The sequence below is a fragment of the Homo sapiens genome, chromosome 20, assembly GCF_000001405.40.
Source record: "Homo sapiens chromosome 20, GRCh38.p14 Primary Assembly".
In the NCBI taxonomy this organism is placed as follows: Eukaryota; Metazoa; Chordata; class Mammalia; order Primates; family Hominidae; genus Homo; species Homo sapiens.
In genome coordinates this window covers 56,536,521-56,559,852 of record NC_000020.11, presented here as the reverse complement: position 1 = coordinate 56,559,852, position 23,332 = coordinate 56,536,521, and the positions used below count along the sequence as shown (strand labels likewise).

Here is a 23,332-nt window from a genome sequence, read left to right as displayed (position 1 = left end):
CGCCTCACAGGTTCAAGCGGTTCTCCTGCCTCAGCATTCCGAGTAGCTGGAATGGCAGCCGTGCGCCACCACCATGCCCGGCTAATTTTTTTTGTATTTTTAGCAGAGACAGGGTTTCACCGTTTTGGCCAGGCTGGTCTTGAACTCCTGACCTCAGATGATCTGCCCACCTCAGCCTCCCAAAGTGCTGGGATTACAGGCGTGAGCCACTGCGCCTGGCTACGTGTCTGTTGTTTCAAGCCACCCAGTTTGTGGTACTTTAGGGTTACAGCAGCTGTAGGAATCTAGTAGAGGATAGAATTAAATAACTGTTGAATGAATGAAGTTAAATTCCTGATTTCATTGGGCAGATATAAATTTTCCTTGCCAGAAAAGAGGATACAGTTGGCAAATCTTCCCCAAACCACAAAAAATAAAAATAAAATTAAAAAAACCTGATCAGAGGGGATTATCAGCATTCTGACCTGGGCTTGGAGTGGGATCCTCACTTCTTCCACAGGATAACTGTAAAAACTGCCGCAAGATTTGCATCTTGGTGGGACCAGCAAGTTTCAGGAATTCATTCCCAGAAACAGTGGCTCCTCCTGCCCCGACTTCCTCAGCCACCGCCAACACACCCATTTCCACCTTGTGTTCCAACACCTCCCTTTTATGTGAACGATTCAGAGAAAGATAAAGTTGATTATGTGATTCTCAAAGCAGAGGGAGCTGTGGCCAAGAAGAATGCAGTGTCTCACGGCCACACCAAAGGATTTTTCCTACCTGGAAATTACGAGGTCTTTCTTCTTCCTGAACTTACCTTGCCCTTGTTTCCCAGAGGCCTAAATCAAGGGAGCAGGTGTGTTTCCAATCACTCATTCACCAGCTGTGAGCAGGGCATACAACCAGTGGTAAGTCAGACAAAACTTAGTGCCTGCATTGAGCATCCAGTGCACCGAAGAGTCCAGTGCACTGAAGAGGGACACAGATTTTCTGTAAATAAACAAGATAATATCCTAATGTGATCAATGTGGAGAAAGTCAGGTGGTGTGATTAAGAATGAGTAGGGGCGGCTGGGCGCGGTGGCTCATGCCTGTAATCCCAGCACTTTGGGAGGCCAAGGTGGGTGGATCACCTGAGGTCAGGATTTCGAGACCAACCTGGCCAACATGGTGAAACGCCATCTCTACTAAAAATACAAAAATTAGCTGGGCGTGGTGGCAGGCGCCTGTAATCCCAGGTACTCGGGAGGCTGAGGCAGGGAGAATTGCTTGAACTCAGGAGGTGGAGGTTGCAGTGAGCCAAGATTGTGCCACTGCACTCCAGCCTGGGTGACACAGCAAGACTCCATCTTAAAAAAAAAAAAGAATGAGTAGGGGCCAGGCATGGTGGCTCACGCCTGTAATCCCAGCATGTTGGGATTTTGTGAGACCTTGCCTTTACAAAAAACAGAAAAAATTAGCTGGGGGTGATGGTTCAGCCCTGTGGTCCAAGCTGCTCGGGAGGCTGAGATGGCAGGAGCACTTGAGCCTAGGAGGTTGAGGCTGCAGTGAGCTGTGAACACACCACTGCACTCCAGCCTGGGCAACACAACGAGACTCTGTCTCCAAATAAACATGCTCATCACCTTAAAAAGAACCTCAAGGCCATTAGCCCTTCCTCTCCTAAGCTCTTGGTAATCACCATTCTACTTGTCAGCTCTATGGATTTGCCTCTTCTGGACATTTCACACACAGGGAATCATATAATATGTGGCTTTTGTGTCTGTTGCAGGTACCAGTACTTCATTTTTTTTTTGAGACGGAGTCTCACTGTCGCCCAGGTTGGAGTGCAGTGGCACAATCCCGGCTCACTGCAACCTCCGCCTCCTGGGTTCAAGCGATTCTCCTGCCTCAGCCTCCGGAGTAGCTGGGATTACAGGCGTGTGCCACCACGCCCAGCTAATTTTGTGTATTTAGTAGAGACGGGGTTTCACCATGTTAGCCAGGCTGAGCTCGAACTCCCGACCTCAGGTAATCCACCCACCTCCCACTCCCAAAGTGCTGGGATTACAGGCGTGAGCCACCGCGCCTCGCCCTCCCACTCATTCTTTTCTTTTCTTTTTTTTCTTTTTTTTTTTTTTAGACAGGGTCTTGCTCTGTCACCCAGGCTGGAATGCAGTGGTAGATCACAGCTCACTGCAGCCTCCATCTCCTGGGCTTAAATGATCTTCCCGCCTTAGCCTCCTGAGTAGCTGGGACTCCAAGAGGGCACCATCACACTCGGCTAATTTTTTTTTTAAATAGAGACAGGCTTTCACCATGTTGCCAGGCTGGTCTCGAGCTCCTGAGCTCAAGCAATCGTCTTGCCTCGGCTTCTCAAAGTGCTGGGATTACAGGCGTAAGCCACCGCACCTGGCCCACACAGTGCTTGAATAATTATTCTGGCAGTGTCTCACACGTCCAAAGAAGTATGGAGTTCTAGGGAAAGTTCATGTTTGGCAAATGAATGACTGGTTGCTGAATGAAGACTAATGTTGGATTTCTAAATACTGGCAAGCTTTGCACTCTGAGGGAATTTTTGCCTTTCTTTTTTTGAGATGGAGTCTTGCTCTGTCACCAGGCTGGAGTGCAGTGGCAAAATCTTGGCTCACTGCAACCTCTGCCTCCCGAGCTCAAACCATCTTTCCACATCAGCCTCTTGAGTAGCTGGGACCACAGGTGCACACCAAAACATCTGGCTAAGTTTTGTATTTTTTGTAGAGACAGGGTCTCACTTATGTTGCCCAGGCTAGTCTCGAACTCCTGGACTGAAGCCATCCACCCACCTCAGCCTCCCAAAGTGCTGGGATTACAGGCATGAGCCACCATGCCTGGCCTGAATTTTTGTCTTATAAGAGATGATCTTGCACCATCAAAAAAGGTTAAAGGATGTTCAGTCTATTCTGTCAAAAAGGCAGGAGAATACATAGCACGGTTCATAAGACTAAAATTTTAAAATTCTTTATCGAAGGGATTTTGTTTCCTTGGGTGTCCACAGCACCTTTTTTGGTGTGATAATGAAGGATTGTTCCTAAGCACCTGGTACTTGCCAGGCTCCATGCTAAGGGTTTCAAGAGTAAATACTTCACTGAATCCTCTCAATGATCCTGCTCTATTCGAAAAGCACTTTGCGATGAGATTCAGAGAGGTTAAGGGACCTACTTAAGGTAACACAGCTGGTAAGAAGCAGCTGTGGTTTAGGAAGGCAGGACTTCCAGCTTCCAGCTTCTATGCCTTCTCCACTGCCTCACACTGTCACACTCAATGGCTGACTCCTCATCTATGCGTTGACAAAGCCCTGGTGCCTCCAGAAAGCTGGCCTGGAGTGGAGAGTTAAGTGTCTGGGAGCCTTCCCTCCTGAATGCGACATTTCTCTCCACGTTGCATGGAATGGCACCAAAACTTTTTTTTCTTTAAGACGGAGTCTACTCTGTCTGACACAGTGGTTCACGCCTGTAATCCCAGCACTTTGGGAGGCCAAGACAGGCGAATCACGTTAGGCCAGGAGTTCAAGACCAGCTTGGCCAACATGGTGAAACCGCTTCTCTACTAAAACTACAAAAATTAGCCAGGCATGGTGGCGCATGCCTGTAGTTCCAGCTACTCGGGAGGCTGAGGCAGGAGGATTGCTTGAGCCCAGGAGGTGGAGGTTGCAGTAAACTGAGATCATGCCACTGCACTCCAGCCTGGGTGACAGAGCAAGACTCAGTCTCAAAAAACAAAAAACAAAACAAAAAAAACAAAGATGATCAGGTCCCTGATATAAAATTGTGTAGTATTTGCGCATAACTTACACATATCCTCCTGTGTACTTTAAATGATCTCTAGATTACTTATAAATGTAAATGCTATGTAAGTAATTGTAGTTTAAATAGTTTAAAACAATATGCTACATTGTTTTAAGATTTTTATTATTTTTTATTGCTGTACTGGCTTTTTCTTTCTTTTTTTTTTTTTAGAGACAGAAGGCTCTGTCTCCTAGGCTGGAGTGCAATGGTGCGATCTCGGCTCACTGCAACCTCTGCCTCCGGGGTTCCAGCGATTCTCCTGCCTCAGCCTCCCAAGTAGCTGGGATTACAGGCACCCGCCACCATGCCCAGCTAATTTTTGTATTTTTAGGAGAGACAGGGTTTCACTATGTATTGGCCAGGATGGTCTTGAACTCCTGACCTCAAGTGATCCCCCCGCCTCGGCCTCCCAAAGTGCTATGATTACAGGCATGAGGCACCGCACTCGGCCGTATTGGGTTTTAAAAATATTTTTTATTTGAGGTTGGTTGAAGTCGAAGGCCTGAAACCCATGGATACGGAGGGCCAACTGAATCTGTTGTTTAAGCCACCTGGTGACCTGAAATGATATTTTGTTACAGCAACCTGAACAGACTAACACAACCTTTGTTAGATGATGATTTGAGAATATTTTCTTCCATTCCCTCAGTTGTTTTTTCACTTTCTTTCCATTTCCTTTGAAGCACAAAAGTTTTTCATTTTGATGAAGTCCAATATCTATTTTTTCCTTTTTGATTTCTTGTGCTTTTTGTTGCATTGCTTTGGAATAAGAAAAAAACAGGGGGGGAACATTTTATGAAAAAAAAACAGGCCCAGACATACTGCAGCCTATTCATGCAGTGACATTCCTGTCCACGGGGAGCTAACACTCAGTCAGCATTCCCATGGGGTTGACTCCTCCATTCGTCTTCCTCTCTGGCCTTTTTCCAGGTTGCAGGAGAAGTCTTTCATGTTCTGATGAGCCAGATGGCACAACAAACAGCTTTGAATTTAAGTGGGATGAGTCATCACTTAAATGTACTTAGAAATTCTAAAATTAGTCCAGTGTAAGCCATTTCTGCTTTCTGTTTTCAGTTTCTCTGACTGGATGTGCCAACAGTGTTTGCTGACTGTAGAGTAAACCCCAACACTGGCAGATGGTGGTTGTGCTGCTTGAAGTGGAGATGGGCAAACCCTGCCCGATCTAGAAAAACGTGTACCATGTGTGTTTTTAATAGCAAAACATCGGGGAAACCTAGACATCCACCAGTAGGGAACTGGTTAAATTATGATACATGTAAACCAGAATAATAACAGCCAAATATATTGAGGGTAGAGAGTTGAATATGTTAAGCAGGAAAAACTTTTCCTCTACCATCTTCAGTTCGGTACCTGGGATCTGCAAATTAAAGTAACAAAAGACAGATTAACAGGAGAAAAAGCATATAATTTTTGTTAATATTTACATGCATGAGAATTTATAGAAAAGAAGTAAAACTCAAAGAAATGGTTAGATTCAGGCTTATATAACTTTTATTTTTGACACAGAGTCTTGCTCTGTTGCCCAGGCTACAGTGCAGTGGTGTGATCTCAGCTCACTGCAACCTCTGCCTCCCATGCTCAAGCCATTCTCCTGCCTCAGCCTCCGGAGTAGCTGGGACTACAGGCACCGCCAACACGCCCGGCTAATTTTTGTATTTTTAGTAGAGATAGGGTTTCACCATGTTGGCCAGGCTGGTCTCAAACTCCTGACCTCAGATGATCCCCCTTGGGCTCCCAAAGTGCTGGGATTACAGGCGTGAACCACTGTGCCTGACCTTATATAGCATTTTAACAAAGGAAATAAGGTTTGGGTTTCAAGCAATGATAAACTGTAGGAAAGTGACCAGGAAATGGGAGAACTAATGGAAGATAAGGGCTAATATAGTAAGGTTGGCTTATGCAAATTAATATCTTAGTTTATGTATTGAGTGGCCAGGTGCAGTGGCTTATGCCTGTAATCCTAGCAGTTTGGGAGGCCAAGGCAGGAGGATTGCTTGAGTTCAGGAGTTTGAGACCAGCCTATGCAACAAAGTGAGACCCGTCTCTACAAAAAATTTAAAAATTAGCCCAGCGTGGTGGTATGCACCTGTAGTCCCAGCTACTCAGGGGGCTGAAGTTGGAGGATCGCTTGAGCCCAGGAGATCAAGGCTGCAGTGAGCCAAGACCACATCATTGTACCCCAGCCTGGGTGAGAGATCGAGACCCTGTCTCAAAAACAAAAACAAAAAAATTTGGTTAATGTTTCAAGGTCACATTGTGAAATTATTAGTTATATTTGTTGTATTAGTTATGTAATATATAAAACTAATATATAATATTATATAATAAATGAGTTATGATAATAACTCATGTTTATATTTTTGTATTATTATAATAACTCATTTGTTAAGCATTTACTGTGAGCCAGGCATTGCCTAGGCTTGGCAGTGGAGACCCGATGGTGGTGGGTTGTGCCCTCCCGAAGCTTCTCCTTTAATGCTGTGAGTCAGAAACCCAGTCGCAATGGTAATGAATGTGTAATTAAGGGCAGCGTGTACCCTTGGTAGGCAGGAGCGGGGCTCAGGACCTTTGTACTTTCTGTGCATGCTCTGTTCCAAAGTGTCCTCTTAAAGGTCTTCCCTGACCATGAAGCCCAGGAGCCCCTCCTCCTGGTGCATCCTTCTTTCTAGGCTGATCTTCTCCTGACATGCTATTGTATATTCCCGTGTCATTGCTGTTGTCTGCTCCCCGTTGTCTAACAGCCTCTAAGAGGCTGACAACTCATAGGATTCTATTACCTCTGCATGCTCAGTGCTGAGAGCCTGCTTGGCTCATGGGAGTCAGTTAATATTTAGAGAACAAATGGATGTCTGGCAAGGTAGGTGGGCTGAGACCAGGCTGAATGGGCAGGGTGGGGAACCCAAAGTTGTGCCCACTGTCCAAGTCACACAGTTTCTGTTCCCTTTTTTTCTTTTCTTTTTTATTTTTGAGATAAAGTCTCACTCTGTCACCCAGGCCAGAGGGCAGTGGCGTGATCTAAGTTCACTGCAACCTCCACCTCCCTGATTCAAGTGATTCTCCTGCCTCAGCCTCCTGAGTGGTTAGGATTGCAGGTGCCTGCCACCACACCTGGCTAGTTTTTGTATTTTTAGTAGAGATGGGGTTTCACCATGTTGGCCAGGCTGGTCTTAAACTTCTGACCTCAGGTTATCTGCCCACCTCCGCCTCCCAAAGTGCTGGGATTACAGACATGAGCCACTGCGCCCAGCCTACAGAACTGTTAAGTAGCTCAAACATGATCAGAGCCTGAGGACCCCCTGAAGGGCACCCTGCACAGGCTAGTTTTCTGCCAATGGCCTCCACAGACCTTCTGGTCCATTTCAGAGTGGTACACAGCCCTACCTGACTGCACGTGTGCCCTTTCTGGGAAGGAAGGCTTGTTGCCCGCCACTCCCAGATTGTCAGAGCCCGCTGGGTCCAGAGTCCAAGTGTTACAGGAAAGGGGTCCTGATCCAGACCCCCAGAGAGGGTTCTTGGATCTCGTGCAAGAAAGAATTCAGGGTGAGTCCATAGAGTAAAGTGAAAGCAAATTTATTAGGAAAGTAAAGGAATAAAGAATGGCTACTCCATAGACAGAGCAGGCCCGAGGGCTGCTGGTTGTGCATTTTCATGGTTATTTCTTGATGATATGCTAAACAAGGGGTGGATTATTCATGCCTCCCCCTTTTAGACCCTATAGGGTAACTTCCTGACGTTGCCATGGCATTTGTAAACTGTCATGGTGCTGGTGGGAGTGTAGCAGTGAGGATGACCAGAGGTCACTCTTTTTGCTATTTTGGTTTTGGTGGGTTTTGGCTGGCTCCTTTACTGCAACCTGTTTTATCAGCAAGGTCTTTATGACCTGTATTTTGTGCTGACCTCCTATCTCATCCTGTGACTTAGAATGCCTTCACCATCTGGGAATGCAGCCCAGTAGGTTTCAGCCTCATTTTACCCAGCTCCTGTTTAAGATGGAGTTGCTCTGGTTCACACACTCTGACACAAGCTCCTCTCACGATCAAATCCTGGGATCACATCTGGCCCATGGTAGCCATCAGTAAGTACCTGGTGAATGGGTGATCTGCGGTGAGAGGAGTGAGCTGAGGACAGCTGCTTTCTGGGCTTCTGAGGGATTTGATTTACTCTCCCATGGCTCTCCTTTCTCACGGGGACAAATCCAAAGTCCTTTCAGTAGCCTACAGGGTCTCCAAGGTCCACACCCCGCTCCAACGCTGCTCGCGCCTTCTCTCCCTGCACTGGCACCTCCATCATGCCAGGCTGCTCCTGCTGCGGGCTCTCTGCTGGCCCATTCCTCCTGCCGTACACCCTCCCCTCCCAGCTTGTCCTTACAGCTTCCTCTCTCAGTCAGCTGCTTCTCAGTGAGCCCTTCCCTGATCACATTGTTTAAGGTTGTAAACTAACTACCCTGCTCACCACATACACACACACACACACACACACATGCACGCATGCACATATATGTGCACACAGGCACGCACACACACCCTATTCCCCTTCTGTGCTTTCTCCATAGCACCTACGCTCCCCAATAGACTATGTATTTGGCTTTTGTATTTCCTTACTGTCTCTCTCCCCCAGGAGAATGAAAGCTCTATGCAGGCTGATGGTTGTGTTTGTTTTTAAATCTCTTCATCCCAGTGCCTATAACAGCACATAGAACAAATATACACTTACTGTATGAATGAATAATCAAATGAAAAATGTTACTTGCTAATAAAAATAATGTTACTGTTCCTACTAGTATTACAAATGCTAGTTGTGGCCTGAGTGGTGGCTCATGCCTGTAATCCCAGCACTTTGGGAGGCCGAGACAGGAGGATCACTTGAGGCCAGGAGTTTGAGACCAGCCTGGGCAACATAGTGAAACCCTGTCTCTACAAAAAATTAATAAAATTAGCTGGGCATGGTGGCATGTGCCTGTAGTCCAGCTACTCGGGAGGCTGAGGCAGGAGGATCACTTGGACTCGGAGGTTAGGTAGAGGCTGCAGTGAGCCAAGATCAAGCTACTGCACTCCAGCCTGCACAAGAGAGCGAGACTGTCTCAAAAAAACAAAAAACAACCTACAAAACAGCTAGTTGTTGTGCTATTAGTCATTTAGAAACATTCTATTACTTCAACTTACACAATTGTTATCAAAGGCCCCTGAAGCAAAATCTGGAAAAAGGTGTGCTCACTGTTGTCTGTGATGGGCTGTATCTGCCATCTAGTGGCTCTCTCTAGTAACTGCAAGCCGCGTAAGCACCGGTTCTAACATTGATGCTGCGGGGTGAGATGTCAGCCAGCTCTCCAGCCATCTAGCCACACATCAGTCTCAACACTTGTACTAGCATCTCTTGTGAGAATACAAATTGGCACAATCCTTTTAAAGGGAAATTTGGCAATACCTAACACAACTGCATATGCACTTACCTTTCTAACCTACGATCACTCTTCTAGGTATCTACCCTGAAATTACAGCTTCAGCAATACCAAAATACACAGGCACAAGGTTAGGCCCTGCACTGTTGTTTGTCATTTCAAATGTTTGGATGCTCCCTGCGTGTTCATATCTGAGAGCACAGCTGTGTAAACTATGGCACGTTCACACAATGAAGTTCTGTACAACTGGAAAAAAAGAAGAGAAAGACCTCTGTGAGCTGACATGGAGTAGTAACCTGTGGACACACTGCCAAGCGAAAAAGAGCAAAGTCCAAAAGAATATCCATAGTGTCTACTCTTTTTTTTTTTTTTTTTTTTTGAGATGGAGTCTCACTCTGTTGCCCAGGCTGAAGTGCAGTGGTGAGATCTTGGCTCACTGCAACCTCTGCCTCCCAGGATCAAGCAATCCTTGTGCCTCAGCATCTTAAGTAGCTGGGATTAAAGGCGTGTGCCACCATGCCTAGCGAAATTTTGTATTTTTAGTAGAGACAGAGTTTCACCATGTTGGCCAGTCTGGTCTTGAACTCCTGACCTCAGGTGATCCACCCACCTCGGCCTCCCAAAGTGCTGGGATTACAGGCGTGAGCCACCGTGGCAGGCCCATAGTATCTACTGTTCATGCCATATCCAAAAGGAACCCAAAATGAAATACAAACACTAACAAATGAACCTAACAAATAACAAATGAAATGAGACCCCATCTCTACAAAAAATAAAAAAAAAAAAAAATAGCCAGGCGTGGTGTTGCACACCTGTAGTTCCAGCTACTCAGGAGGCCGAGGTAAGAGGATAGCTTGAGCCCGGGAGGTCAAGGCTGCAGTGAACTATAATCATACCTCTGCACCCCAGCATGGGCAACAGAGCAAGACAGTGTCTCTAAAAAACACACAAAACTACAAACAACAAATAAGTAACACAACCACCTAAAGGGGCCAGGGAAGGAAAAACGCATTAAGTAACTTTGGGTTTTTTTTTGGTTTGAAACTGAGTCTCGCTCTGTCACCCAGGCTGGAGTGCAGTGGCACGATCTCGGCTCACTGCAACCTTCACCTTTCGGGTTCAAGTGATTCTGCTGCCTCAGCCTCCTGAGTATCTGGGATTACAGGTGCGTGCCACCATGCCTGGGTAATTTTTGTGTTTTTAGTAGAGATGGGGTTTCACCATGTTGGTCAGGCTGGTCTCGAACTCTGACCTCAAGTGATCCACCCCCACCTTGGCCTCCCAATGTGCTGGGGTTACAGGTGTGAGCTACCATGCCCAGCCACACTGAGTAACTTTAGAAGATAACATCGTGACTGGATACTGTGAGGCTCAAGATGAAATGAGCTGTCCCCAAATGTGCAATCTAGTTAATACATATGTTCTTAATGGGCTATGGGTTTGCAACTCTTTGTATGTGTACTAGAATTGAACACTATATTAGGATTGCTATAAAGAAATACCTGACACTGGGTAATTTGTAAAGAAAAGAGGCTTAATTGGCTCACAGTTCTGCAGGCTGTACAGGAAGCATGGTGCTGGCATCTGCTGGGCTTCTAGGAAGGCCTCAGGAAACTTACAGTCACGGTGGAAGGCAAAGGAGGGGCAGCTACGTCACATGGCCAGAGGAGGAGCAAGGGGGTGAGGGGAGATGCCACACACTTTTAAACAACCAGATCTCACAAGAACTCACTCACTGTCATGAGAACAGCACCAAGGGGATGGTGCCAAACCATTCATGAGAAATCCACCCCCATGATCCAATCACCTCCCACCATGCCCTACCTCCAACATGGGGGATTACACTTCAATATGAGATTTCAGCGGGGACACAGATCCAAACTATATCAAACATATAAGTAAATATAGATCATGAAAGCCAGGTTTCCTGCTGCTGGAGAAAGAAGCTGTAAAGAAGGGGAAGGAGGATGGCTGGAATGAACCTGAAGTGTCTTTCTAGAATGGAGAGGTCAGCATAGAATCATGGTATTTCACATTCATACACCCAGACAGATGCAGAACCATAGCTGTGTTCGGGGAGAGGCTTCATACACCCATTTATATTTCCTACAAGATGGCCTAAGAGCAATAGCAGCCCAATAGCAACAAGCACACCCAGTAACCAGGTCCTGGCTTCTAAACACCATTCTCCAAGAAAAGGAACCTGGCCCCTTGGGGAAGTGGCTGATTCCAGGACGAAGGCAGGCAATGAACCAGATGAGCATGGAGCATCTTGGGTTGCCAGAAAGTAAGGAATTGCTCAGAAGAGGAAGGGGCTTGCTCACATAACACAAGTGCCAACCCAAAGGAGCTCCTAATGCCAAAGGTGGCAAGGTTGAAGCCAGAAAATAACAAAAACATCAGATTTTAATAGAATAAAATAAACACCCATAAGTCCATACTGAAATCCATCCATCAATCAACAGCGAAGGAACAGCTCTTCCTTACAGCAGAATTCCAATCAATAAAAAATGTAGAAGGAGAGGAAAATTGAAATCACCATTAGGTAAGCACCAAACCCTGCGGAAATAGTTGTTGCAGCCAAGGCCCACCGATGCATGCTCAGCTTAGTGGGTGGAAGGCTAAGGAGGCAGGATTGGTGCAAATTCAAAGTAGTTCCCCTAATGCATTTATTAACAACAACGGGGAAAAATACCCTTCCAGAGCAGACACCCATCATAGCCCAGTGAACACCAGTATCGTCCAATGAGCACAGCTAATGTCCACTGTGAGGGGCACAAACACAACATGAACCCCTGGTCCGGGGCACTGAGAAGGCCACCACAGCGCTTCCCCAGCATCACTGCCACACACATACAACCGCGTTCCTATCATGAGAAAACACCCTTCGAACCCACATCGAGGGACATTCTACTGAATAGCCGATCGCCATTCTTCATTGTACAATTGACTGTTGAACCACACACGTTTGAACTGCGGGTCCACCTATGCTCAGATTTTCTTCCTTCACCACCACACCTGAGACAGCAAGACCAACCCCTCCTCTTCCTCTCCCTCCTCAGCCAACTCAATGTGAAGATGACGAGGACGAAGACCTTTACGATGATCCACTTCCACTTTGGGAACAGTGAATGTATTTTTTTCTTGATTTATGAATAATTTTTTTCTCTAGCTTACTTTATTGTAAGAATACTGTATATAATCCATATAATATACAAAACATGTATTAATCAACTGTTTATGTTATCAGTAAGGCAGTCAGTAGTAGGCTATTAGTAGTTATGTTTTTGGGGAGTCCAATGTTAAACATGGGCCAAGCATAGTGGCTCACACTTATAACCCCAGCACTTTGGGATGCTGAGGTGGGAGGATCACTTGAGCCTAGGCGTTCAAAACTAGCTTGGGCAACATAATGAGACCCTGTTTCTACAAAAAATTTTGAAAAAGTAGCTGGGCGTGGTGGTGCATGCCTGTAGTCCCAGCTCCTCAGGAAACTGAGGTGGGAGGATCATTTGAGCCCAGGAGCTTGAGGCTGCCGTGAGCTGAGATCACACCACAGCATTCCAGCTTGGGTAACAGAGCAAGACCCTGTCTCAGAAACAACAAAAACCAAATGTTAAACATGGTGGTCGGGTGTGGTGGCTCACGCCTGTAATCCTAGCACTTTGGGAAGCCAAGGAGGGTGGATTGCCTGAGCTCAGGAGTTTGAGGCCAGCCTGTGCAACACGGTGAAACCCCATCTCTACCAAAAAATACAAAAACTAGCCAGGCATGGTGGTGCATGCCTGTAATCCCAGCTACTTGGGAGGCAAAGGTAAGAGAATTGCTTGAACCCGGGAGGCGGAGGTTGTAGTGAGACAAGATCGCGCCACTGAACTCTAGGCTGAGTGACAGAGCAAGACTGTCTCCAGAACGAAAACAAAAACAAATGTTAAACATGGGTTTTCGACAGCATGGGGCTAGGGGTACCCTTAACTTCTGTGTTGCTCGAGGTTCCACTGTACCAAACAACTGATCACTATCAAGGTCATAGAAGATGAGGGAAGACTGAGGACTGTTCCAGGCTGGAGGAGACTAAGGAGGGATAAGTCAATGCATTCTGGGTGCACATTCATGGAGTGAATTTTATTCCTGAAGGAAATTCAAATAAAATTGTTAACAGTGCTGTACCAATATCACATTTCTTGGTTTTCACAATTGTACTGCAGTTGTGTAGGATGTTAAGTTCAGAGACAGCTGGATGAGAGGGGCACAGGAACTCTGCACTATTGCAACCTTTCCGTAAGTCTGACAGGTTTTTTTTTGTGTTTTTTTTTTTTGAGACGGAGTCTCGCACTGTCGCCCAGGCTGGAGTGCAGTGGCGCGATCTCGGCTCACTGCAAGCTCCGCCTCCCGGGTTCACGCCATTCTCCTGCCTCAGCCTCCCGAGTAGCTGGGACTACAGGCGCCCGCCACCACGCCCGGCTAATTTTTTTTTTTGTATTTTTAGTAGAGACGGGGTTTCACCGTATTAGCCAGGATGGTCTCAATCTCCTGACCTCATGATCCACCCGCCTCGGCCTCCCAAAGTGCTGGGATTACAAGCGTGAGCCACGGCGCCGGGCAAGTCTGACAGTTTTTAAAACTCGGCCAGGCGCGGTGGCTCACGCCTGTAATCCCAGCTCTTTGAGAGGCCAAGGCAGGTGGATCACCTGAGGTCAGGAGTTCGAGACCAGCCTGACAAATATGGTGAAACCCTGTTTCTACTAAAAATACAAAAACTAGCCGGGCGTGATGGCATGTGCCTGTAATCCCAGCTACTTGGGAGGCTGAGACAGGAGAATCCTTGAACCCAGGAGGAGCAGGTTGCAGTGTGCTGAGATTGAACCACTGCACTCCAGCCTGGGAGACAGAGCCAGACTCTGACTCAAAAGCAAGCAAGCAAACAAAAAACAACAACAAAAATTAAAACTTTATACTGAGTACCTGTTACATGCCAAGCCCTGTCCCAGATGCTGAGAATATGGCAATAAATACAATAGACACTGTCCTGTGAAAGACAAGAGAGGCCAGGTGTGGTGGCTCATGCCTGTAATCCCAGCACTTTGGGAGGCCGAAGTGGGCGGATCACTTGAGGTCAGGAGTTCAAGACCAGCCTGGCCAACACAGGGAAACCTCGTCTCTACTACAAGTACAAAAATTAGCCGGGCGTGGTGGTGCACAATCGTAATCCCAGCTACTCAGGAGGCTGAGGCAGGAGAATCACTTGAACCCAGGAGGCGGAGATTGCAGTGAGCCGAGATGGCGCCACTGCACTCCAGCCTGGGCAACAGAGTGAGACTCTGTCTCAAAAAGAAAAAAAAAAAGAAGACGAGAAACAAAACCATTGTTCATGCTCTCACACTCACCACATTCTACCTTTGGTTACTATAATGTATACGTGTGTGTCAGTGGGGCTGTTTCCTACACATCAAGCAATTCCCCAGCAGACACCAGCTGGGGGTCCTCCAATTCAATTCTGACACTACCTACCTGGAGACAGCATCAGATCCCACAGGATGAAGACTCAGTCCCAAGACTGCCTCCCACTTCAGGCAACACCCACAAGTCCCAGGCTGAATCTCTAACCAAGCGGGTAGAGATTGAGAGTTTTCATGACCTGCTTCTCTGGCTTGATTAATTTGCTACCGTGGCTCACAGAACTCAGAGAGACACTAGTCATGTTTTTTTGTTTGTTTGTTTGTTTGAGATGGAGTCTTGTTCTGTTGCCCAGGCTGGAGTGCAGTGGTGCAATCTCAGCTCACTGCAACCTCTGCCTCTCGGGTTCAAGTGATTCTCCTGCCTCGGCCTCCCAAATAGCTGGGACTACAGGCGCCCACCACCACGCCCGGCTAATTTTTTGTATTTTTAGTAGAGACAGGGTTTCACTGTGTTAGCCAGGATGGTCTCGGTCTCCTGACCTCATGATCCGCCCACCTTGGCCTCCCAAAGTGCTGGGATTTTTTGTATTTTTAGTAGAGACGTGGTTTCACCATGTTGGCCAGGATGTTCTCAATCTCTTGACCTCGTGATCCGCCCGCCTCAGCCTCCCAAAGTGCTGGGATTACAGGCGTGAGCCACCACGCCCAGCCGCCTTGTTTTTTTATTGTAAAGGATATTGCAAGGGATACAGATGATCAGCCAGCCGGAAGAGGTACACAAGGCATGGCGAGGGGGAAGGGGGCGGAGCCTCCATGTCCTCCCCAGGAGCGCCACCTTCCATGAACCTCCAGATGCTCAGCTATCCAGAGGTTCCTCACACTCTGTCCCTTGGGTTTTTATGGAGGCTTTATTACATAGGCATTACTGATTACATCACTGGTCAATGGTGATCGACTCAAACTTCAGCCCCTCTCTCCTCCCCGGAGGTTGAAGGGTGGGACTGAAAGCTCCAACCCTCCAATCACAGATTTTTTAACCTGTGATTAAAAAAATCACAGGTTATTCCATCCCGAGGCTGTCCAAGTGCCCTCAGCCACCAGACATCACTTGGGAAATTCCAAGGGGTTTAGGAGTTGGATGCCAGGACAGGGGGAGGGATGAAGACCAAATATTTATTTCTGATTATGAATTACAATATCACAGTCCCTGTCTATGGGGAGAAGGCAGAAACAAGAAACAGGTTAACAGAAAGCATAATGTCCCATAGTAATAGGTGCTGCAAAAAGAAAAAAAAAAAAAAAAGAGGGTGGGGGGAGGGGGGAGGGATAGCATTGGGAGATATACCTAATGCTAGATGAAGAGTTAGTGGGTGCAGCACACCAGCATGGCACATGTATACATATGTAACTAACCTGCACAATGTGCACATGTACCCTAAAACTTAAAGTATAATTAAAAAAAAGAAAAAGAAAAAAAAGAAAGAAAAAAAAAAAGAAAGTCGGAGGATGTGATAGGAGAGATGGGAGGGGCCCCGTTAGCTGGGTTGCCAGGGAGAGCCACCCTGAGGGGTGACCGCTGAGCAAAGACCAAAGTCACAAGCCTACTAGCCAGCAATGTGGTATCTGGAGGAAACATGCCAGGGAAGGAAGCCTGTGCAAAGTCCCTGAGGCAGAAATGAGCTTGGCACATGCAGCTGGGAGGGGACTATTCACAGAGCTAGGAGGGGACCAGGACCTGTGGGCACCTGCAGGCCAGCGGAGTGGGATTGAACACCACTGTGAGCACAGTGGGAAAATACAAAGGGTTTAAATCCATTGTGATACATCCCCCATTGTAATTATTTGCATATTATCGGTACTTATGGTTTGCTATCTATCTCTCCCATTAGAATACATTAGAATATAATGTGAAATTTCATTGTAAAATGTTGGCCACTGTATTAGTCCGTTCTCACGCTGCTATAAAGAAATACCCAAAACTGGGTAATTTATAAAGGAAAGAAGTTTAACTGACTCACTGTTCCACAGGGCTGGGGAGGCCTCAGGAAACTTACAATCATGGCAGAAGGGGAAGCAAATGCATCCTTCTTCACATGGTGGCAGCAAGGAGGAGAATGACAGAAGTGCGGAGCAAAGGGGAGAAAAGCCCTCACGAAACCATCAGGTCTCATGAGAACGCAGTCAATATCATGAGAACAGCCCTGGGGAAGTACCCCCATGATTCAATCACCTCCCACAAGGTCTGTCCCCCAACACGTGGGGATTACAATTTGGATTACAATTCAAGATGAGATTTGGGTGGGGACACAGAGCCAGACTCTATCAGCCTCTAATTCAAACTTTCAAAAAAATTACTGTGGGCTGAAATGCACTTACTCCATGATCCAGAAATTGTACTTCTGGGCATTTATCCCAGAGTCATGAAGACTCGTGTCCACACGAGAGCCTGTGCGTGATTCTCCATAGCAGCTGTTTATAATACCAAAGCTTTTTGAAACAACCTACGTGTCCCTCCATAAGGGGATGGTTCAACAAAGTGGGACACGTGGTACTCAGTGACAGAAAGACTTGAACTCATGGTGTGGGTAACAACCAGGGACCTCAAAGGAGTTAGGCTAAGTGAAAAGAGCCCCTCTCAAAAGGTCGCAGACTGTATGATTCCACTTATAGAACACTCTCACAACAAAATTACAGAGGTGGAAATTAGTGGTTGCCGGGGGTTAGGGATGGTGGGGGAAGGCAGCTCGGTGCACAGGACACTTCTGTATCTTCTTTTCCTTCTTTGTTTTTACATAGCCCTAACATAAAGATCATTTTTTAAAAAAATTTTTGAGACAGGGTCTCACTCTGTTGCCCAGGCTGGAGTGCAGCGGTGCAATCTCAGCTCACTGCAGCCTCGACCTCCCAGGCTCAAGCAATCCTCCTGCACAGCTTCCTGAATACCTAGGACTACAGGTGCAAGCCACCATGCCCAGATAATTTTTGTATTTTTTGCAGAGACACGGTCTCACTATGTTACCCAGGCTGGTCTCAAACTCCTGGGCTCAAGTGATCTTCTCGCCTAGGCCTCCCAAAATGCTGGGAGGCGTGCACCACCACGCCCAGCCCTTCTGTATCTTGTTGGTGGTGGTGATTACCAGAATCCATGCGGGGGATAAAACAGCCCAGAGCTCTGCAAACACACGTTGCTCCGCGTCACCTCCCTGGTTTTGGGATTGACTTACCTAAGACGCAACCACAGGAGGAAACTGGGTGAAGAGCACACGGGACCTCTCAGTGCCACCTTTGCAACTTCCTGTGAACCTACTATTATTTCAAAAGAAAAAGTTAAGAAAAATTACTGTGGGCCAAACAAACATGGTATGGGCAGGGGAGGTTTGGTGTCTGAGCCAATAGTTCATAGCCTCTGCTTTCAAGGGACTGGGTGTTCTCATTCTTGATCCATGGCTGCTGTTTCTTTGGTCTCATTTCCCTGGTTCAGAGACCCAGTGACTAGGTCAAAGGGCAAGGTGGACGTGTCAGCTGTGGTATCAGAAGTGGCAGATGGAAACATTTTGTGTGTTTGTGTGTGTATGCATGATGTATTCAATTGCTGTGTAAAAACTTGGCCATAAGTGTAGTGGCTTACAACAACGCCCACTTATCACACAGTTTTTGTGGGTCAGGAGTACACGTAAGGCTGGCGGGGTCTCTGCTTAGGGTCCCACCAGGCAGAAATCAGGTGTCGGTCATGGCTGCTCTATCATCTGAGGCTTAGGCTCCCTCTTCCAAGCCACTGGTTGTTGGTGGAATGCATTTCTACAGCTATAGCACTGGAGGCCACGCTTTCTTCCCAGCTGTTGTCTAGGCTTTCTTTCGGGTCCTAGCGGCCACCCTCATGTCCCTACCATGGAACCCCCGTGGTCTCACAATACCGCAGCCTCCATCTTCAGGCTGCCAGGGAAGTCTCGTGGCTACTATGGGGTCTTACGTAAGACAATGTCATCGTCTTCACAGCTCCCACCACACTCAAGGGAAAGATTACAAAAGGTGAGTGCCAGCCGGGGGCAAGTGGCTCACGCCTGTAATCCCAGCACTTTGGGAGGCCGAGGCAGGCGGATCATCTGAGGTCGGGAGTTTCAGACCAGCCTGACCAACATGGAGAAACCCCGTCTCTACTAAAAATACAAAATTAGCCGGGTGTGGTGGCGCATGCCTGTAATCCCAGCTATTCCGGGGTCTGAGGCAGGAGAATCGCTTGAACCCGGGAGGAGGAGGTTGCGGTGAGCCAAGATTGTGCCATTGCACCCTAGCCTGGGTGACAAGACAAAACTCCATCTCAAAAACAAAAACAAGCAAACAAAAAACCCCCCAAAAACCAAAAGGTGAGTGCCTCTCGGGACCATCTTAGAATTCAGCCCACCACCCGCATCGAGGTTCATGAACAAGGCCCTGTCCAGTGACCATGTCCCCTCCTGTCTAATGCTCAATTTTTTGTTAGCAGCAGCACGACGCCTCCATCACCTCATGCTGGAGCAGCGTCTTTGCAGCTGGGTCCCATTCCTGGTATTCAAACCGTGAGTGACCTGTTTCCACCCAGTAGAGCATGGCAGAGCTGATGTCCATGGCTCCCATGATGACATCACATTGTGAGGCCCCTGTTGTATGAGTGACTCACTCTAGAATCTTACTCTCCTTATTGGCTCTGAAGATGCGAAATGCCACGAGTCCTACAGCTGCAAGGGAATGCATTCTGCAGACAGTCTGAGCTGTCAGCCTGCTCTGATAAACACTTTATTAGGATTTAGGCAACTACAGTGATCAGCAGTTATCATTTATGCATCAGCTTCTCTTTTTATTTTTCATTTTCTTTTTTAAATTTTTAAATTTTTATTTTTTTTTGAGATGGAGTCTCACTCTGTTGCTCAGGTTGGAGGACAGTGACATCGTCTCGGCTCACTGCAACCTCCACCTCCCTGGTCAAGCGATTCTCCTGGCTTAGCCTCCCGAGTAGCTGGGACTACAGATGCACACCACCATGCTCAGCTAATTTTTGGATTTTTAGTAGAGACGGGGTTTCATCATGTTGGCCAGGCTGGTCTTGAACTCCTGACCTCAGGTGATCCACCCACCTCCGCTTCCCAAAGTGTTGGGATTACAGGCATGAGCCACCACACCTGGTCTTATTTTTTTTTTGAGACAGGGTCTCACTCTGTCACCCAGCCTGGACTGCAGTGGTGGTATCACGGCTCACTGCAGCCTCGACTTCCCGGGCTCAAGTGATCCTCCCACCTCAGCCTCCCTAGTAGCTGAGACTGCAGGCATGCACCCCCATGCTCGACCAGTTTTTTTTTGTTTGCTTGTTTTTGTTTTGTTTTTTCTTTTCTTTTCTTTTTTAAGACTTTTTCTCCAAAGGCTCCATTATCCAGACTATTCTGCGTATTTTTTATAGAGTTAGGGTATCACCATGTTGCCCAGGAGTGTCTTGAACTCCTAGACTCAAGGGATACTCCTGCCTTGGTCTCCCAAAGTGCTGGGATTACAGGCATGAGACACCACGCCAGGCCTCAATTTCTCTTTTTAAACCACAGGGTGTGGTAACAGAATTTGAGTTTATGCTATGACAGTAGAGTTGAGTAACTTTAAGATATGGCTCCAAAAATACATCTAATGCATTTTAGCATGAAAATACTGCATGAAATTGACTGGATTGAGAAAACACTATTTTCTAGGCAAAACTGTGGTCTGCACAGTGTGTATTAAGCTAGGCCAAAGACATGGAGGATACCATTTTTGAGGAATTGTTAAATCCAAATGTACAGCAGATTTTGTTCTAATTTACATCCTTGGTGCACTTGCTCTAAGGAGTTTTGACAATTTCCCCTTTCGGAGGATCCCCATCTTTAGTTGCTAGTGCCCTGGATGGAGCTATACACAAAAATGTGGTTTATAGGCTGGGTGTGGTAGCTCATACCTGTAATCCCAGCACTTTGGGAGACTAAGCAGGAGGATCACTTGAGCTTGGGAGTTCAAGACCAGCCTGGGCAACAGACTCTACAAAAAATATCTTAAAAATAATAGCCTGGCAAGGTGGTGCATGCCTGTGGTCCCAGCAACTAGAAAGGCTGAGGTGGGGCCGGGTGTGGTGGCTCACGCCTGTAATCCCAGCACTTTAGGAGGCCGAGGCGGGCGGATCACCTGAGGTCAGGAGTCAGAGACCAGGCTGGGCAACATGGCGAAAACCCATCTCTACTGAAAGTACAAAAATTAGACACTTGCCCAGCTCTCTTGCCCAGGCTGGAGTGCAATGTTGCGATCTCGGCTCACTGCAACCTCCACCTCCCGGGTTCAAGTGATTCTCCTGCCTCAACCTCCCAAGTAGCTGGGATTACAGGCACCCACCACCATGCCTAACTAATTGTGTATTTTTAGTAGCGACAGAGTTTCCCCATGTTGGCTGGGCTGGTCTCAAACTCCTGACCTCAAGTGATCCACCCACCTCAGCCTACCAAAGTGCTGGGATTCCGGATGTGAGCCACCGCGCCCAGCTTCTGCTTGTTAACATATGAGATTAGCATAAATTAGGGGTTGGCAAGCTTGTCCTGTAAAGGGCCAGTTAGTAAATATTTCTGGGCTATATTGTTTTCTGTTGCAATAATTCAAGCGTGCCACTGTAAGCACAAAATCTAGACCCATAGACAACGTGGAAATTCTGTGGCACAAAAGCAGCCATAGATAATATGTAAATTAAAGAATGTGGCTGTGTTCCAATAAAACTTCATGGGTGCTAAAATTTGGATTTTATGTGAGTTTCATGTCTTCAAATATATATATTATATATATATATGTTGCCATATATATATATGTTGCCATATATATATATATATAGCAACAGGTTCTCACTATGTTGCTCAGGCTGAACTCAGACTCCTGGGCTCAAGCAATCCTCCTGCCTCATCCTCCAGAGTAGCTGGTACTACAGGTGCACACCACCACACCCTGCCTGATATTTTTAACCACGAAAAAATATAAAAATCATTATTAGTTCACAAGGCTGTACAAATATAGGCAGGCGGCCAAATTGGCCTGTGAGCTGTAGCTTGCTGACCGCAGATCTAATAGCTACTGGTTAAATGAAGACAATCTAAAACCTGCCCCATCTTGAGATTACTGGTTAAAACCAATTTTTTTCTTATCTGGATTTCTTCAGAGTGGGCTGTGACAATAACTCACATACTCTGGTTTGCTTGAAAACACTCATAAATAATCTGGAAGGCAAAAGGAGTAATCTTGGCTCCTTCCATTTCCCCCATATTGAAAGCTGAGAGTTAAGACAAAAAGCAAAATGTTCAAGGACATTTTACAAGAGGTCCACCTCCTACACATGGAGAAAATCACATGTTCAGGGAGGATCCTGAAAGCCTTGTGCAAATAATGGGAGCGGACAAATAAAGGAAGGTGGCAGAGATTCAGGACTTCTCTGTCAGGCACCAGAAGTTTGGACTGAAGTGAAATAAAGGAATTTCCATGGTGTCCCACAGCTAACTGTTCTCTCCAGCCACGCACAAGTGTGTGTGGCCTTTTATTTATTTATTTATTTATTTTTGAGATGGAGTCTTGCTCTGTCGCCAGGCTGGAGTGCAGTGGCATGATCTCGGCTTACCGCAACCTCCGCCTCCTGGGTTCAAGCAATTCTCCTGCCTCAGTCTCCCAAACAGCTGAGACTACAGGCGCCTGCCACCACGCCCAGCTAATTTTTGTATTTTTAGTAAAGACGAGGTTTCACCACATTGGCCAGGATGGTCTCGATCTCTTGATCTCATGATCTGCCCCCTCAGCCTCCCAAAATGCTGGGATTACAGGCTTCAGCCACCACACCCGGCCACAGGTTGGCCTTTTAAATGAGGGAAGGTCGGCTCAGGGGTCAGTAGGAGACTTACAGCCCTAAGTGTGTGCAGAGTCAGCCACACTAACATGTAAAATATCCACATTTTAAATAAGTATGATAAAGTACATATCAACTGATTGGGGAGCCCCTGGTTAGCACATCTGTATCCAAAACCCCAATGATATAGAAAGGATGAATTGTTTTTCCCTTTTTTTTTTTTCTAATTTAAAAATAATAGAGAAGGAATCTCACTATGTTGCCCAGGGTGGCTTCAAACTCCTGGACTCAAGCAATCCTCCCGCCTTGGCCTCCCAAAGTGCTAAGATTACGGATGTGAGCCACCATGCCTGGCCTCTCCCTTTTTCTTAATCCAACTACTGACAAATGTAACTGCCAGTTTGGTAGAAGGAAAAGTCAATGCATGGAACCTTTGACATGGAATGAGTGAAAGGACTCTTGTGGTGAGAGAATCAGATAACTCTAGAATACACCCCTCCTAATTGAATCATTTTACCATTTTAAAACTATCATTAACGCCGTCTTTTGTAATAAATCAAAGATAAAAAGCAGTTCTGTATCTTGCACAAGTAGATACTACAGAGAGCGAGAGTTTGTATGGAAGTGACGTCAGCATCTTATCCCAGATTTCCCTAGCTCCATCGTCCACCCGCGGCCATTGCACGGAAGCACGAGCTCATCACGTACTATTATGTAGCTTTCGGTGCTCTCCTCACCATCCACAGCTCTAGATGACATGAGAGAGGCAAAAACAAAACCATCACTGCTATGGCTACTGGTCTCCCATTCACTTTTTCTTCTAGTGAAAAAAAAGAAAAGAAGCAAGCTCTCAAACATGGAAG

General features: G+C 46.7%; 1 long non-coding RNA gene across 1 annotated transcript, besides 1 other annotated feature; it reads right to left on the bottom strand.

The window, feature by feature from the left end:
• Nucleotides 1–4,241: 4,241 nt before the first annotated feature.
• Nucleotides 4,242–5,935, bottom strand: LOC124904971 (uncharacterized). The gene is made up of 2 exons (XR_007067758.1): nt 5,895–5,935; nt 4,242–5,165 (listed from the first exon to the last, which is right to left on the bottom strand). It is a non-coding gene; the product is annotated as an uncharacterized LOC124904971 (long non-coding RNA).
• Nucleotides 4,968–5,017: an enhancer, noted in NCBI's record as "active region_18143". NCBI's record gives its function as "activates an Ori minimal core promoter by ATAC-STARR-seq in GM12878 lymphoblastoid cells {active_cell/tissue: GM12878}" and the evidence as "EXISTENCE:reporter gene assay evidence [ECO:0000049][PMID:35858748]".
• Nucleotides 5,936–23,332: the final 17,397 nt, after the last annotated feature.